The 17,230-nt window shown below is 33.6% G+C and overlaps 1 protein-coding gene across 3 annotated transcripts in view; it reads right to left on the minus strand.

The window, feature by feature from the left end:
- The window catches only part of PLSCR5 (phospholipid scramblase family member 5), a 28,792-nt gene extending 14,860 nt beyond the window's left edge, over window positions 1-13,932 (minus strand). For 2 of the 3 annotated variants that reach the window (NM_001085420.2, XM_017006373.2), the window contains exons 1-5: window positions 13,786-13,932; window positions 8,874-9,049; window positions 3,627-3,669; window positions 2,506-2,726; window positions 306-467 (exon numbers count right to left, since the gene is read on the minus strand). In NM_001085420.2, the coding sequence (NP_001078889.1) occupies window positions 306-467; window positions 2,506-2,726; window positions 3,627-3,669; window positions 8,874-9,049; window positions 13,786-13,798 (615 nt within the window). In that variant the 5' untranslated portion in view covers window positions 13,799-13,932. The remainder of the gene's footprint in view (window positions 1-305; window positions 468-2,505; window positions 2,727-3,626; window positions 3,670-8,873; window positions 9,050-13,785) is intronic. The other variant, NM_001321245.2, reaches the window with a different exon arrangement.
- Window positions 13,933-17,230: the final 3,298 nt, after the last annotated feature.

A 17,230-nucleotide genomic window follows, 5' to 3' on the forward strand; every position in this document is an offset into this window, starting at 1 on the left:
CTTTTATTATAGTAAAATTTATTAATATTACTTTGGATAATACTTACACTGGTCTATGACAGATATGATGGCCAAGGTGATAAATTTTGTAATATTATTTTTAAAAAATCCTTGGACTTTATATCTCTGGATTTACATATTCCTATTCTTAGCATGTACAATATGGGCTGATTACATTATATTACAAATATGTCATTTTCTGAACTTATTTTAAATGAAATTAATTTGAACATAAAAAAATTGAATTATGTTGCAAAAAAAAATCAGGACCTAAATGAAAACTTCTTTCATTTTGTCAATTGTACCTCAAAATCCACATCGCCAAAACAGCCACATGTCACACAAGGACCAACAATTTTCAAAATATCTTCTTTGTTTGCATTTTGGATTGTGAATTTAGGCAGAAAGGGGTCCCACTTCTGCGTAACGTAACCAACTATAGTACCAGGAGGGGCTTGGATTTCTAACTGTAAGAAGAGATAATGATAAAATAAGATTTTCTTAGGTTATCATATTTTAATTTTACTATAATGTCAATTTACCTGTAAACAATATACTGTTATAAAATTATTTTGATATTCTACAAATCATTCTAAATACCTGCTTCTAAGGATACAGATTTTATAAAATATTTTACAGAAAACAAAGAAATTCACTGTATAAACATACGTTTAGCACTGTGCACTAAAAGTCTATGTCTTATTTCCCTAAAGAGAATCTACCCCACGACTATCTTCTGACCCTAGGACAGTGGCTTCTTTGCCATTTTATCCCAAGTACAACCATTGGTCAACCACTGAAGCTGTTCCTATGTGGTTACTCATATCTACTCCTTTTAATTGTAGCCACAACACACATCTATTTTAAGTCTCCTTTATCAATTATTGAGTATTCATATTTTTTCTCTAAGATTATAAGCTCCAAGATTATCTATATTTAATTAAAAACAAATGCTTCTTGCAGAGTTATAGTCATTAAACACCAGTTTGATTGCTGGTTTGTGGCTTCCAAAGTGTTCGAGACTAGTAGTTGGATTTTTGCATTATCCGGCATTACTTTAGCATTTGACTCCATTACCTTTACATATTTATGTAACCCAATCAAATATTTTGTAAAATAAATTGGGGGTGGGTACAAATTTTTTAAATGTTTGCTTTTAAACCAAGACATCGCCATCATCTGATCTCATTTTGACTTTTCTTATGAAGTTCATAGTCTTATGCATATGTCTATAATGTTCTTGGATAGATAAAAGTGATTTCAACTAGACTGCTTAGAATTAATATAGATTTGCTCTGGGATCACTTTTAAAGTTATTAATTTGCTATTGATCAAATTTTTTTAAAAGTTACTAATAGTTATCAAGTAATATATTATGTTTAATTTATGACCCTGGACTACCATTAAAGAAAAAGTTAATTATCAAAAATTTTAAAATGAGCATATTTCTGTGATCATAATGACTACACTCTCTTGGGGCATATTAATATTAAATATCCTCAGTAGACGGATGGAAATTCTTGGGCTCCATGCACGAGCACTTCAATCATTTTATCACTTAGTCAGATGCTTACCTAAAAATAGTTGGAGAATTAGCTTTGATATATGTTATTAGAAACTTCCCTAAATAACCATCTTTCATATTAATATTTTCCCATCACCCTAAGGCCAGTACTTATCCACAGGTTCTAACAGAGAAGGTTGGGCTTAAATTAGGACACCTGGCTCAAGTCCCATCTATAATATTTCCTGATTTCTTGAATGTATAGTCATAGGTAGTCACCTCCACTCTCCTTCCTTGACTGCCAAATGTAGAGAGTAATTATTTCTAGCTCCTAGAGATTTCATGATTCTGTTCTTGCTCATGAGTAGAATATCATGGTATCAAAGCCAGTAAAGTAAGTAAAAGTTCTGTGTCAATTTAACTGCATAAGTCAATGAAAGTTATTATTACAGGTGTACTAAATAATAACGTAAATCTATTATATATTAAAATAAAATAATTGAATTATTCCCTGTAGAACAATAACATTGTCTTGCCAAACCTTGGGCTTTGTCATAAATGGGTAAATGCATTGTGAGATTCCATACTAAATAATAATACCTATCCAAGAGGATACCTTAGAGGAGTTTAATATCACTTAGCATTTCCTGGACTTTGCTCCAGTTGGAGAAGACAAAGGGTGTATATGCCCAATGGTGGAACCTGTAGACATTACAATTACATGACTACTATAGAGATTCCAGAGGTCTATCTCATTTACATGATGCATGAGCTGTCTTCAACAGTTTATATCATGAAAGCCACCATAGTTTTTGGTTGGAAAGAAAAAAGTTTAGTGAATTACCAAATCCTCAAGCTGATCTGATCCTAAAGGAGCAACATACTATTAATAATTAAAACAACTGGCAGGTTAATTGCCTCATTGCTCCAGATGAATTCCTTTTAAAGAAACAAATGCTAATCTTAAAAATCAAAAAGGACAACCAGAGCCAGTAACTAACCTCTTGTAGGTAGCAAGGGCACCAGCAGCTGTTACATCTCAAGGGCCTGTTCACTGTAATGACCTCTCGACCTGAGTTATCTGTGATCCTCAGGGTGCAAGATCGCAGAGTGGAACAGAAAGTACGATTGAAGCAGATGCTTTCCTCCACTGCAAAGTAAATTCTTTGTCCCAAGCTGTTTTTAATCTCATATTTGTTGGAGGTCTCAGTACCAAGTATCACTAATGGAACAAAAAAAAAATTATAAAAACATTTTTTTCCTTAGTATTGATAACTTTAAATAAAGGGGAGATGTTATTAAAAGAATACAGTGTCTGATCAATTATTAAATATATGGTATCTTCTTCACACAAATTTATTTCTATGCTCTAAATTTTTAGGACTTAGCCATGGAAATAAAAGTAAATGGTGAGAATAAAGCTATATAATTAATTAATGTTTATTCCAGATATATGACCTACTTGAGAACATGTAGTGTACCTTTTCACTAAAGGACAAATGCTTTAAAGAATAATTTATAGCTCAAAAAATAATTATATTATTGTTATAGAACTATTGGGACAACTCATGGTGATAATAGTGATTTTGTCTAAAATATTTGTCTGGTAATATATCTAAAGGTGTACGCTATCCTGCTATTTCAATTTTTATATATATTTAGGCATAATATAGAGCACTAAACCCAGAAAATACTCAAGTAATTTGAATCCAGTTAGTCATGCTTGTAAATTTGTAGATTCTTAAATAATTTGCCTATTTGGTAAATCACTCATTTAGTCAAAACCTTGACTTCCATTTTTGAAATTATTAGGAAAGTTAAATGATTAGCATCCACGGAAATGATCAAATACCTTTTACTATTTTAAAGTATATGTAATGTCAGAATTTGAATGGCAATATCACCAAAGATTCAGAGTTTTATGCTTCTATTTTATCTAAATAAGACTAATAATTTTACTTTCAGCTTTTAATTGAAAAAAGACCTAGTACTCTTTTTGATCTAATTCTATTCTACACATTTAACTTTCTCATTTATAACATATTTAGATGCAAAGAAACTTCTGAAAACTAAAATATTTTCAATAGTTTTAATAAATATGTAATATATATAATGCACTTACTTCCAAGCAGCTCCACCTGCTGGTGTATAATTATCAGGTCTAACTGTAAAGGATGACATAAAAGGAAATAAAAAGTATTAACATCACACGGAAAACCTTTGGAGATACTACTAGTACCCTATTTACTATATTACATAAAATTAGTGATTTTCATGCTTTCTATTAGGAAAACAGTTGAAAATATCTCACATTTTACAATGCAAAAGAACGTAATTTTTTTTTTAATTTAAAGAAGAATTTAGAAGAACCTTGAAAATTCCAAGGCAGCATTGAGCAAGAATAAGAATAGCAACGGGGCTGGGCGCAGTGGCTCATGCCTATAAATCCAGTACTTCTGGAGGTCAAGGTAGGCAGATTGCTTGAGCCCAGGAGTTCGAGACCAGTCTGTGCAAAATGGCAAACCCCTGTCTTTACAAAAATTAGCTGGCTGTAGTGGCGTGCGCCTCTAGTCCCAGCTACACAGGAGAGAGGTGGAGGTGGGAGGATAGCTTGATCCTGGGAGGTCGAGGTTGTGGTGCACAGTACACTCCAGCCTAGTCCCCAGAGGGGAGACTCTGTCTCAATTAAAAAAAAAGAAAAAGAAAGAAAAAGGAGACTGAGACAGAACTAACTCTGTGTTAACTCCGCAATAATGAGAAAATTAGAGTAGATCTTGAAAACAAGAGTTTGTGAAGATTTTTAAACAATCTCTGAATTATAATGTTTAAGATGTTTTACAACTCAATTTTTTTAGAAGACATGAAACAACACAATAATGATTTGAATGCCTGGCCTCTCCTCTTAACCTCTGCCTACGTCTACTATCACTCTGTCAAACTGCAACTCATATCTTTCAGTGATGGAATATATTTGTTAAACCTGAAAGGTTATTGTATACATTTTTCTCTCATTCACACTTTCCTTTGGACTAAAAATAAAAATGAGTTCCTGTGGATGCCAACAAAATACCAATTTAAGTCAAATAAATGTTATGGCACTAAATACATTACAAGATTTGACTTATGTAATTAAAAATAAAGTTAATTTACAGAGATAAAGTATCCACAGATAATTGAGAAATGATGATTAAATTAAAAAATCTGTAATGCAAATTGCTTTTTAAAGGAAATATGAAAGTTATGTTCTTATAAAGAAATTTATTTGCGTTTATTTTATTTTTATTTTTTGAGACAGAGTTCAGCTTTGTGGCCCAGGCTGGAGTGCAGTGGCACCATCTTGGCTCACTGCAACCTCCACCTCCTAGGTTCAAGCAATTCTCGTGCCTCAGCCACCTGAGCAGTTGGGATTACAGGTGCACGCCACCATGCTCGGCTAATTTTCGTATTTTTAGTAGACACACAGGGTTTTGCCATGTTGGCCATGCTGGTCTCAAATTCCTGGCCTCAAGTGATCCACCCATCTCAGCCTCCCAAAGTGCTGGCATTACAGGTATGAGCCACTGTGCCTGGCCTATTTGTGTTTATTTTCAATCTGATATTCAGTACTTGAAGATCCAGTAATGCAAAAGCATGAACACTAAATATGCTGCTGATCATTGTATTTTCTAACGCTTCATTTTTCCTTTCACCTTAAAATTTTCTTCACCATATTCTCCCTTCGCATTAATAAACTCACCAGTAACTATTAAACTAACCAGTCATTACTAAAATTTGGTATTGATTGGACATCACAATCTCAGAACATTTGAAGCTACATGATTTCCCTCATTCTCCTTGTATGTCCTAAGGTGAAGGTAAAACTAATATCATTTTCTCTATTTAAACCTTATTATTGATAAAATAATATGTGTGGCCTCTTTTTTAAGATTCACAAAAAATATTTTTCCAAAAATAATTTATGATCTAAGATATTCTAAAACCTAAATTAACAATAATAAGAAAGCTTTTATTAGAAAAAAAATACTAGACCAAGTCTTTAGTAGTGTACTGCATTAGTTCTGTTATCTTCTGAGGAAAACGGAGTGGTAAGCCTCAACAAGGATATATGTTATTATTTAGTAGTTGATCTAAGCAAAAGTAACTTAGAAATGGAGATCTGTGTGATCAAGAATAAAGTGGGAGTTTAGGTACTTTGAATACTGTTGTCATGAATCAAGTTCTAGTATTGAAATTTAGAAACTATTAATTGAAGTCCACCTGACAATGAAAAAGTAGTACCTCTCTAATATCCAACAATAACAGTTTTTTTAATTGAATAACTACCATAAGGTAGTCACTGTGCTAGATGTTTAGACAGCATCTGATTTAATCCTCACAAAAACTCAGAGAGATAAATATCATTAATTTTAAATGTGAGGAAGCAAGCCCACAGAGATTAAGTAATTTGCCCACCATCACAGAACTTGTAAATGGACATCAATTCTGACATGCATTCTATTCTGTTTCTTTACGGACATCACTACGCTAAATTTAAGGGAAATAAGTCTTAAGTGACGACATGAAACTTGAGTACCTTTCCTATTTTCTTTACTCTTATACCCTCCCCATCCTCTGTAATAACATTTGATTTGCTCTCTCTGTGAAAAAATCTCCTGGATTTAAGGGAGTTGTTTGTTTTAGGCTGTTCTTGTAGTTTTCCTTAAATAGCACATAGCCACTTACAAACTATGGCCCAAAGGGGCATTTTCCATTCTTTTTCTATTCATTGATAGACTAGCAATTTTGGAAACTTTAAACAGATTGAATTATACGTTTAGGTGTCATGGCAAGTAAAACTTAACTCCTTAAGTATGAAAGCTGTAGAAATGAAAATACAATGAGAGGATTAGATGTATGGCTTAATAATTAATTTAAAAAAAATCAAGTTGACAGGTATCAATGATTCCATTTGATATATGTATTTCAAAATAAATTGGATATTTACATGTTTTGTAGACTTTAACTCATTACTCTTATGTATAGGTGACTATAATAATTATTCTTTGACACTATACAGTAAAATGTTATTGACTGTATGAACATGTAAATTTAATTTGGAAAGAATTTATTGATTTTACTCTTAGATTTAATGTACATTATATAGCTAAACACTCATATATGTATATTTTCAAATTGTTCATGGAAACAAGATTCTCAATAGTAATTGGATGGACTTGATTAAAAGAGAATAGATGTTAAAATATTTTATTTAAATTTTTAAATTTAGAACATATTAATTGTATATTTCCTGTTTATTCATTGATTAATGTACTATTTCCAAATGTTCATTATTTTGTTTGATTTTTGTGGCTTTTAGGGAAAAGTTGGCATCTAAAAATTCATTTTATATTGTGTCTCTTCCAGACTCATGGCATAACAGTTTGGAAGTGCTCATTCATCCTTTTATATGTGCACTGCTTTAAAGTAAAGTAAATAAATGTTCTTTTAGTATAAAGTGAGGAAATTACCTTTCCCTTTAGAAGTAGAATATTCAACAATTGGTGGCATATTTTTCTTTTCTTGGAATGATTAACAAAGGTATATTTTTGGAAAATTTATTCCATTTTAGAACCAAAGCCAATGGGCTCATATCTCTACTTATTGAACACAACAAAAATGTATTCATGTCAAGCATCTGGCTCCGGGTGTGTCATCATTCATGAATGGAAGAAGAATATGTGATGACCATATGTGATCATCAAACCTCAGCCCTCTGGCACTGGTATATCACTTTTATACTTGGCAAAACCTTGTCTGACAACATTCCCAAACAGCTTGCAGCAGTTAATCAACTCTAGTCAGCTATTACAGCTGATCCTTTCTGCAGATGGAAGATGGTAGGTTTGCGTTTCCAGCTCTTTTACATATCTCCCTGAGCTCTCCAGTCTCTAAAGTACATTTGTCTGCCAGTGGGTTTCTGGAGAAGACATCTGCAATTATAAACATTTTCCCAGGAACATATGCTGCGTGCAGCTTAAACCCTATCAGGCATAACAGAAATCTCTTGTACCTTAAGGGAATTAACACAGAGATTTGATTTTGATAAAGGAGATAGACTTTATAGTTTGAAAGAATGCCAAACAAGCTGAAAATTGCAGCAGATGTGCTGACATCTCAATATTAGTGTAATTGTACTTCTAATCCTTTTTAGGATAAAATACAAAAGCAACAATAATATACATACATGAATAGCAATAGCTGAATTTTATATGCCATAAAATTCAGATAGTGATATTTTGATTGATTTATTATAAGGCTTGAATCCTGCCTACTTTACAATGACTAGAACAGTGACTATACCCAATAGCAATATGCTCTTTTAAGCAAATTGGCCTGGAGATGCAGTGGTATCAGCAGACAATGTTCACTTTATAACCGCTTTGTCTTGGATTTGTGTCCTCCTTTTGAGATTCAGTTGAAGACATTGAACTCAGCTCATTGTTGAAGTCTCTCTAGTACTTTGATCCTTAACAACCTCTCTCTCCTCTATACACCTGCACAAATTACAATAGTGTGTTTATCAGTCATTTGTACACAGGCTTGCACTTTGCATTAACTTTTTTTTTTTTTTTTGTCTTGCCAATTAGGTTGCAGAACTTTTGGGTAAGAGGGGCTAGGTTTCGTGCTTTTTATATGTCTCTAGTATAGCAAGCACTCGACAAATATTCTTTAAATAAATAGCTGTAGATGACTAGATATGTTAGAAAATTTCTTTTCTTTTCTTTTTTTTTTTTTTTCCAAGGCAAGTCTCACTCTGTCACCCAGTCTGGAGTGCAATGGTGAGATCACAGCTCATTGTAGCCTTGACCTTCCTGGGCTCAGGTGATCCTCCCACCTCAGCATCCCGAGTAGCTAGGACCACAGGCAAATGTCACCATGCCCTGATAATTTTTATAGAGACAGGGTTGTATCATGTTGCGCAGCCTGGTCTGGAACTCCTGGCTTATCCACATGCCATGGGCTCCCAAAATGCTGGGATTACAGGCGTGAGCCACCGTGCCTGGCATATTAGACAATTTCTTGAGCAAAAATTTACTGACACCTTGAACAATGAACAAGTGGATAAATATGCTAAACAGCTCCATCAAAAATATTTAGTCTCATCATTCTGTCAAATAAATAAGGAAGATAAAAGTAGTAATAAGATACACTTTTAAAAATAGTAGAAATAAATAAAGTTAATATTTTATAATTTTATGATTTATAATGCTTTTTTCATTTCAGTAAATTATTGGTTAAATTCTTTCAACCTTGATTGAAAAGCCAGAAAGAAAGTTTGTATTAATTTTAAGGGTAGAACATATCTGTAGTAATAGAAAGATAAAAACACCTGGCTTAAATATTCTAGACCAGGAGGGAGACTGACTGTTGGCAGGAAACTGCTTGGCAGAGGGAGACTCAGCTGCCATGCTTGGTTCCCTGGATTGGAAGAGGCAGGAAGGCTTTGGTCTGGGTCTGGAGCTCCAGGAAGAAAACCAGGCAGACCTCTTCTTTGGTTCTGGGCATCTGCAAGAGAATGGAAATCCCAATCCATATTTAAATTTAGGCCATTTTATTTAGTCCTTCTTAAAGTATTTGTTACTTCTTGATTGATAGGATAGTTTATCTCCTGCCTCTCATTTTAATGCCCTTTTCCTTCTTTTCACTACTCACTGCCATTATTACTTGTCCCCTAAGTTAGAAAAAACGAAACGCAGAAGACTGCTGGTAGTAGTTGTGAGAAAAAGTTGAATTTAGCCAAAATAAAAGACTTTAGAAAAAAATATGCATATGTGTATATGTATCTGTATATATATAATTACTTGCATATATATACTTACTGCATATATATTTATATGCATACATAAATTATATATTATATACATATATGAACCAAAATGTGGAGAGTAATTATCGGTTACTTTATACATATATAAATTATATATTATATAACTATATATAGGTATATACATACAAATCGATGTTACTTGAATAGATATGCAGTAATACATGTCTATATATTTATATATATACTTATTTTTATATATTTATATTTGTATAAGTCTATATTTATATAACCAATAATAGTTTGAAGCTATGCATCCTTTTGTAGCTCACCCAATATTACAAAATATAAAAGATATCATAATCAAAGAATTCTATAAAGTTTGACTAAAATTTTTAGAGAAGACATCTGTTTTCTATATTATTGCCAGGTAAATATGTTACCATTTTAATCATCTTTTATTTTGAAATTTGGGGGTTTGTTATTTACTTTGCATTACTCTGTGTAATTTTATGTATAACCCCTAATAAGGTGGTATATGCAAAAGTCGTTTTGTTTAAAAATATAAATGATAGCCTTTCTACTATTTTTTTCTTCTCACATAACTACCACTTGGATATCTCTCTCATTAGATATAATTTTTTTTTCAAAGAATATCAGTGTTTTTACTTCTCATGTTTAGTAATCAACAAAGTGTTAGAGATTTCACAAGTGCATTCAGTTAGTTTATCCACATTATGCTGTTTTAGATTGGGTATAGATGTGAAGCAAGGTTTGTGACAGGTATTTTCAAATATGAGAAGGGCCGTTATGAAGACAAGTAAATCAGATTGTCCTAAAGACATACAAAAGAGAGGGACAAGGAAATTGCTTCTGCATTGACAACAAGTAGGAAATTTATAACAGCTACACAAAGATTTGAATAAGTATTCTCATTACTCATATACCAAAATTGAAGCGGAATCCATATAATTAGCAGCAAATTACAATGTTCTCACTTCAGCAATGACTCTCAAATTCATGAATGTTTGTGTGTGGGGCAGGGGGGTGGTGAAGAAACATCTTTATCTTTTAAATCTGTGAAAAATAAATTCTAAAAATGAATTGGGTTTCCTTTGGTGATAGTAAATTTCTCATCATTAAGAAAACTCAAGCATATTCTGCATTCATTCATTCATTTATTTATTCATGAAGTAAATTCATTCATTTATTTATTTAACCTTAAGGTTGTACGAATAAACTGAGTTCATTATTATTAGTGTAGGGCCATTAAGTTTGTACTGGTCTGTGATATTTAGAATGTAGACATGCTTTATGGTTAGGACCAAATGGAATAACTTGTCAAATGGCCCTACTAAAATACAGCTTCCTACTGATAATACTATAGCAGTTTGGTTTCCGCAAGTACCCCCACCCTGAACTTCTCACACATCTGGGGCAGATACAAAGGATATAGGCTTTAGACCTTCCCCTGCTCTTGAGAATGGCTCCTCAATAGGATCCTAAGAAGTAAAGCCAGAGAAAGACTATGTAACACTATGTCAGATTTGGGAGAAGAGCTAATGGCCATTAATATAACAATAATGATGCAAAAATATTAAAAGGCAATAAACATTATTTCTTTAGCGTTAGTGCAAAATGTACCATTGTCACTTTCAGAAAAACATAGAAGCAAAATTATGATATAGGGAAAACTAGTTCACAATGATAAAATCCAGAATAGTGGTCCATCTTGGGAAAGGGAGGATGCATGGCTATTGGCTAGAAAGAGAACATTATAGAATCTAGAAATGTCTATATCTTGATCTTGGTGGTGGTCATGAATGGGTCCTTATTTTAAAAATCATGGAGCCTAGGTTTTGTGCTCTATGTACTTCACTGCACATATTATCTCTCAATTAAAAACCATGTGTAGGGATTAATTTCTAACAATAGCTAGTATAAGATTTTTAGATTCTCTCTCATTGTAAACTTAATTGTTAAAGGGATTCACAAATTACCCCAATTTTATCTTGTAAATTATGTTTGCTGTAACAAAATGCAGTAGGTTATGGAGGGTTTGGCAAGTAGCTGTACATTCCCGCCCAGTCCTGGAGGGCCTTAGACTTCACAGCAAGTCCAGAAGCATTAATGCACTTGGAGCTCAGAGGATATTGTGTCCAAAGTCTTTATTTAGGAGTAGAGTGTGAGTGAGTCTCTGCCTGAGACTGTTGAGAGACATCACTATTCTGAGATCACTAGCTGCTTCTTCTGGGATTTTAGTTCACATTGAAGCAACCTTTGGAGACAGCTCTTGCTCAGTTCAGATCACCGTGTTTGAGAGCAACTTGCTCTTAAATTGTGTTAATTTCTACTAAGCCAGGATGCTCCAGCTCACACAAATGTCTCTTCAGTTCTAATGGCACCTGGTATTTAGACTGTCTTTTGGTTTAGTAGTGCTGATTGATCTGCCTATGAAATATGTGAAATGTACAATTAGTCTGCATTCCCTGGGAAAATGCTAATTGCCAATATAGTTACTGGACAAGAAAACATGATGTTATAAATAATGTGTTTATATACAGCTGAAGAAAACTATCCACAAAAATGTTTTACTTAGATAATGGTGATAATTTGACTTGCCCTCTTAAACAAGATATCTAATTCACAAGAAAGCTTCATTATCACTTATATTCTCCTAGGTAGTATGAAGTCTCTAATAGGTGTTTTATCCTTCCATGCATTAAATATTTTGAGCCGGTTGCAGAAGGAGGGTCAGTTTTCCACCTGAAGTTTTGCTTCTAAGTTTAGACTTGGGTCTTTATCATTATGGAACATCACTGCTTCCTGTTAGATTAATCATATTTTGACATAATATTACTTTCCAGTCACAAGTTTCTTCAAAGACTCAGACAACCAGATGAAGAAGGAACTCCTTTGAATTTCGTACTGGCTTTGAATTTCTATCTACTCTTTTAAAAATGTATAACTAGCTTATAAATATTTTATACACTCTGCAACTTTTTACCTTACAGTCTACAGTATTGCTGTAACTCTTATTTTATAAAGTGATGAAGTATTTTGGACTAAATAGTAGTGTCAGTCTTAAATGAAAGGAAATATTTGTCAAGGTTTTTTGTTTATTTGTCTTCAGATAGAAAAAAATGACACATATGTTAAATTCATGATTTTGCTATTTCACATCTATGTTTTACAATTTGTGTGAGCTTTCTCAGTGATTCTGAGGGACTGAGGGACTGGTCTACATTAAAGATTGATAAAAAATGGAAAGATTATCTCATTTGTTTCATATTAAATAGTGACCAAAAGTGTGTTTTGATAAAGGAAGCAAGTAAGCATACACATTTGTTTGAATGGATCACTAATTTAGGATATTACAAATTGATGAGCCCTATTATCCTATTTGTAATTAATTTAAAAGGTTTTCACCAATTATACTAATTATAATTCTTCATGCTAAAACTTTTCATTATAGCCTAGGCTTTAGTGGTTCATTCTGACAATGAAATGAAAGCACATTATAATTTTATTTCTTACACAGTTTCACAAGTGTTTTTAGTGAGATTGCAACTTACTTTAAAAACAACTACATCTCTTGTCTTTTTAGACCTTCTTTAAAGTAAGATAACGTAATGATATTTTTGCAGTTTTAGGAATTTGAGAAAAAACTCATCAGTCCTACTCCCCAAAAGTCTGCTAAGTGATCTGTGCGCTTAAAGCAGATATTTTCTGTTTGTTTTCTATCTTTAATTTACCATAAGGAAATTTCAAGATATTTTTGCTTTATAATTCAGAAATACTTATTTCTAGCCCATCACATTTAAGAATCAATAATAACGCATGTCAGATTCTTTATAATAAATGGCTATATCACATAATTTGAATAACAAATGGGAAAATAAAACTTAGAGAGTGTAACTGGATTGTCTGTAACTCAAAGGCTGAATGCTTGATGGGATGGATATCCCATTCCCCTTTATGTCCTTAATTCACATTGCCTGCTTGTATGAAGACATCTCATGTATCCCATAAGTATATATACCTACTATGTACCCACATAAATTTTTAATATTTTAATTAAAAAAATTATTAAATTGCACTTTAACACTTTCTAACTTATGTGTGAAAAGTTTTCTTCAAATCCTTTTAAACTTAAAATATCACCCTGTCCTTGTGTTTAACATTGAAGATTCCCATTCTAAACTTTGCTATGCAGCTTTTCTTATTAATTCACTATGTTTGTATTCATGATAACTAAAACATCGTTTACATCTGAACTTTTACAGTCTGTCAGATAAAGTGTTTTTACATGTAACTCAACATGCTCCTGGGAGTTAAGATTTTAAAATCACAATGTTCAAAAGTGACAAATGACAGCTTTTAAAGTACCAATCTAACTGGTTGTAACACATCCACAATTGTATATTTTTAGTCTTAATATAAGAAAAAGTTATTAGTTGGTTATATTTACTCTTACCTTTAGAGGCCATGAAGATGTCTGAGTCACTTCTTCAAAGGTTGCCAGGTTGGAAAACAAAGGCTTTTCTTGTTGCAGCAAGGAGAGAAAACGCAGCATGCACAAAACTTCAGAACGTGTTTGTCTGCCTCTTGTCAGCTTACATATAACAGAGGAAGGGAGTCCCTTGCTGTTTCTAGACTTCTGGACTTTATCAGTTTGGACAACAGAGTGAGATGAAACTGTCACAAAAGTAAACGCTGTTCAGAAACCATCATATAACTTTGGTGGCTGAAGGAACAATTTAAAAATAATAAAAACCAGAAAGGAAAGCACACAGCACTCATTTTAAGTGTCTTTTTTTTTTTTACCAAGTTGTTTTTGTATTTCTTAGAATATACACATTTGCATTCAGTCTTATATCAGAAATATCCTGTATTTCTCAATTTCTAGAAGTCTCCTTTCCAGATTCTGTGATAAAACATCCTATTGTATAAATTTTTGATAGTTCTAAATACAATTCTTTACATGTTGAAAATGTTTGAACATTATTATTGTTATTTTTCTATTGGATTTATCTCCATCTCTTCAACTCAAAATAAATAAGAAGAGGATATATTCCCTACTATTATATAAATAAATCTTTATTTTCATTTTTAATTGAATTTGATTAATCAGAGGCATTGGAATATACAAACCTTCAATAGCCTTGCAAAGCTAATCAAAATTTACAGATGATATTTAACTGCATTGAATTCTAAGGAAAGAAAACAAGTGCTGTAACCTTGACTGGACAGCTCCTATTTCTAAATGCAGCTACCCAGGTGACCATGGAGATTTTGCTCACCAAGTCAATTGCCCTACATGGTATGATTCACAAAGGTTGAACATGCAGGATATATTGCATTATCAGCAACACTGTCTTTTTCTGAAAATAGTTAAGAGGCTTCAGGAGGTATACCTTGTGATGAAAAATTATAAAGTCAACCTCACAGTTTGCAGACTGCCAAAAGTTTGAGTTTTCCTTATTTGACAAAGAGGAGTGGTTTTGTTGTTGTAGTTTTCTTAGTGTTTGGAGTTGAAAAAAGCTACCATTATTTAAGTTGTCGTTTTGCAGAAAAGATGTGTGAATATGATTAATATTTTTAAATTAAACTGTATGTTTCCTAAGTTTTTTCTAATGTTTGTCGTGAGCATTTAGAAAAACTTTAATACAAAAAATTAAGTTATTAACACTATCAAAGAAGATTAAAAAAATTTTTTTTATTATACTCTAAGTTCTACGGTACATGTGCACAACGTGCAGGTTTGTTACATATGTATACATCTGCCATGTTGGTGTGCTGCACCCATTAACTCATCATTTACATTAGGTACATCTCCTAATGCTATCCCTCCCCTCTCCCCCCACCCCACAACAGGCCCCGGTGTGTGATGTTCCCCTTCCTGTGTCCATGTGTTCTCACTGTTCAATTCCCACCTGTGAGTGAGAACATGCGATGTTTGGTTTTCGGTCCTTGCGATAGTTTGCTGAGAATGATGGTTTCCAGCTTCATCCATATCCCTACAAAGGACATGTACTCATCATTTTTTATGGCTGCATAGTATTCCATGGTGCATATGTGCCACATTTTCTTAATCCAGTCTATCATTGTTGGACATTTGGGTTGGTTCCAAGTCTTTGTATTGTGAGTAGTGCGCAATAAACATACGTGTGCATGTGTCTTTGCTCAGCAAAAGGAACTACCATCAGAGTGAACAGGCAACCTACAGGATGGGAGAAAATTTTTGCAATCTACTCATCTGACAAAGGGCTAATGTCCAGAATCTACAAAGAACTCAAACAAATTTACAAGAAAAAAACAAGCAACCCCATCAAAAAGTGGGTGAAGGATATGAACAGACACTTCTCAAAAGAAGACATTTACGCAGCCAACAGACACATGAAAAAATGCTCATCATCACTGGTCATCAGAGAAATGCAAATTGAAACCACAATGAGATATCATCTCACACCAGTTAGAATGGTGATCATTAAAAAGTCAGGAAACAACAGGTGCTGGAGAGGATGTGGAGAAATAAGAACACTTTTACACTGTTGGTGGGACTGTAAACTAGTTCAACCATTGTGGAAGACAGTGTGGCAATTCCTCAGGGATCTAGAACTAGAAATACCATTTGACCCAGCCATCCCATTACTGGGTATATACCTAAAGGAATATAAATCATGCTGCTATCAAACAAGATGTTTTGAAATGTGGTCAGAATTCACCAGTTAATTTTGACTGCCCTACACAGCACAAATTTTGGAATAAAAATAAAAATCTTAGTGAATTAAACATATTTGTGAACTCTCCAAAGACAACCATATATGACTTGGGCATATGATGACATGGGCATATGACTGACTGATGGGATCTTTTAATATTTAATCTGCAGTGGAGGCTTTTCAGATCATCGAACCTGGTAATGCTACTGGTGAGGTATACTCAATGCATTTTTCTTCCCTTATGCACTCTCCCTGTCTTGCCAAAGACAATACCAATGTTTTTTTTCTTTTTAAAGGCTAAGTGTTTGCCAACCTGAGATCTCCCTTTTGTTCATTCCTTTCTTTTTCTCAGCTTTTCTCAAGGAGAGGCTCACAAAACTCTGTTTAATAGGACTCTCACATGTTTCAAGTGTCCTAACACTGTGTGTTCACGCAGCCAGGAGATGCTGCTCCACAAGCTGGCCTCTCTCCTGTTGCTATTGCTGCTGCCATTCAACTTCACCTTCATAGTACTCAGTGCTCTTCTCCTAACACCTGCTGCCTTCCTAGAAGAACGATGGTCATACCATCCTCTTGGCTCTGTGCCATGAAGCCCTTGACCTTTTCAAGAAGCATCAGTTTGACTTTGCCACCAGCCTGCAGTTTTTATGGCCCACTCACTTGATTCCAACCCAAGGTGGGCATGTCTAACACAGTACTGAAGACTTGAGATCACATCGAGGGCATTGCTGTAAGAAACAGGAAACTTGAACACGAATATCAGAAACCATAGGGTGAATGGGCTTTGCCTCTTCCCAGGAAACTCCCTATTGGTCATCGCTCTCTCCTGAGCCACTGGTTTGCTGCTCTGCTGCATGGGCTTGCTCATTTACTCAGGATGATCTGCCTTTCTGGTCCTGTACCTCCTGAAACAAGAGGAGCCTCATATATCCCCCCTTTTCTTCCATTCCAGCCAAAAGGAAATGGAAACAAATTGCACCATAATTGCTGCACAATTACCTTCTGCCCATAGACTATTTTCAGGACATATCACAGGTGTTTCTAAAGAGTTGTCCATTCAATATTACAGTGATGTTCATAACTTTACTCTTTATTTAGTGGCTAGTATTTGACTTACATTTTAATGTCTGAAAGACGCATCAAAATGCTTTCTCTCAGTACAAGGTGAGAGAAATGTCAATTAAATCTATATAGTGA

The sequence above is a fragment of the Homo sapiens genome, chromosome 3 (genome assembly GCF_000001405.40).
Source record: "Homo sapiens chromosome 3, GRCh38.p14 Primary Assembly".
NCBI classification, from domain to species: domain Eukaryota; kingdom Metazoa; phylum Chordata; class Mammalia; order Primates; family Hominidae; genus Homo; species Homo sapiens.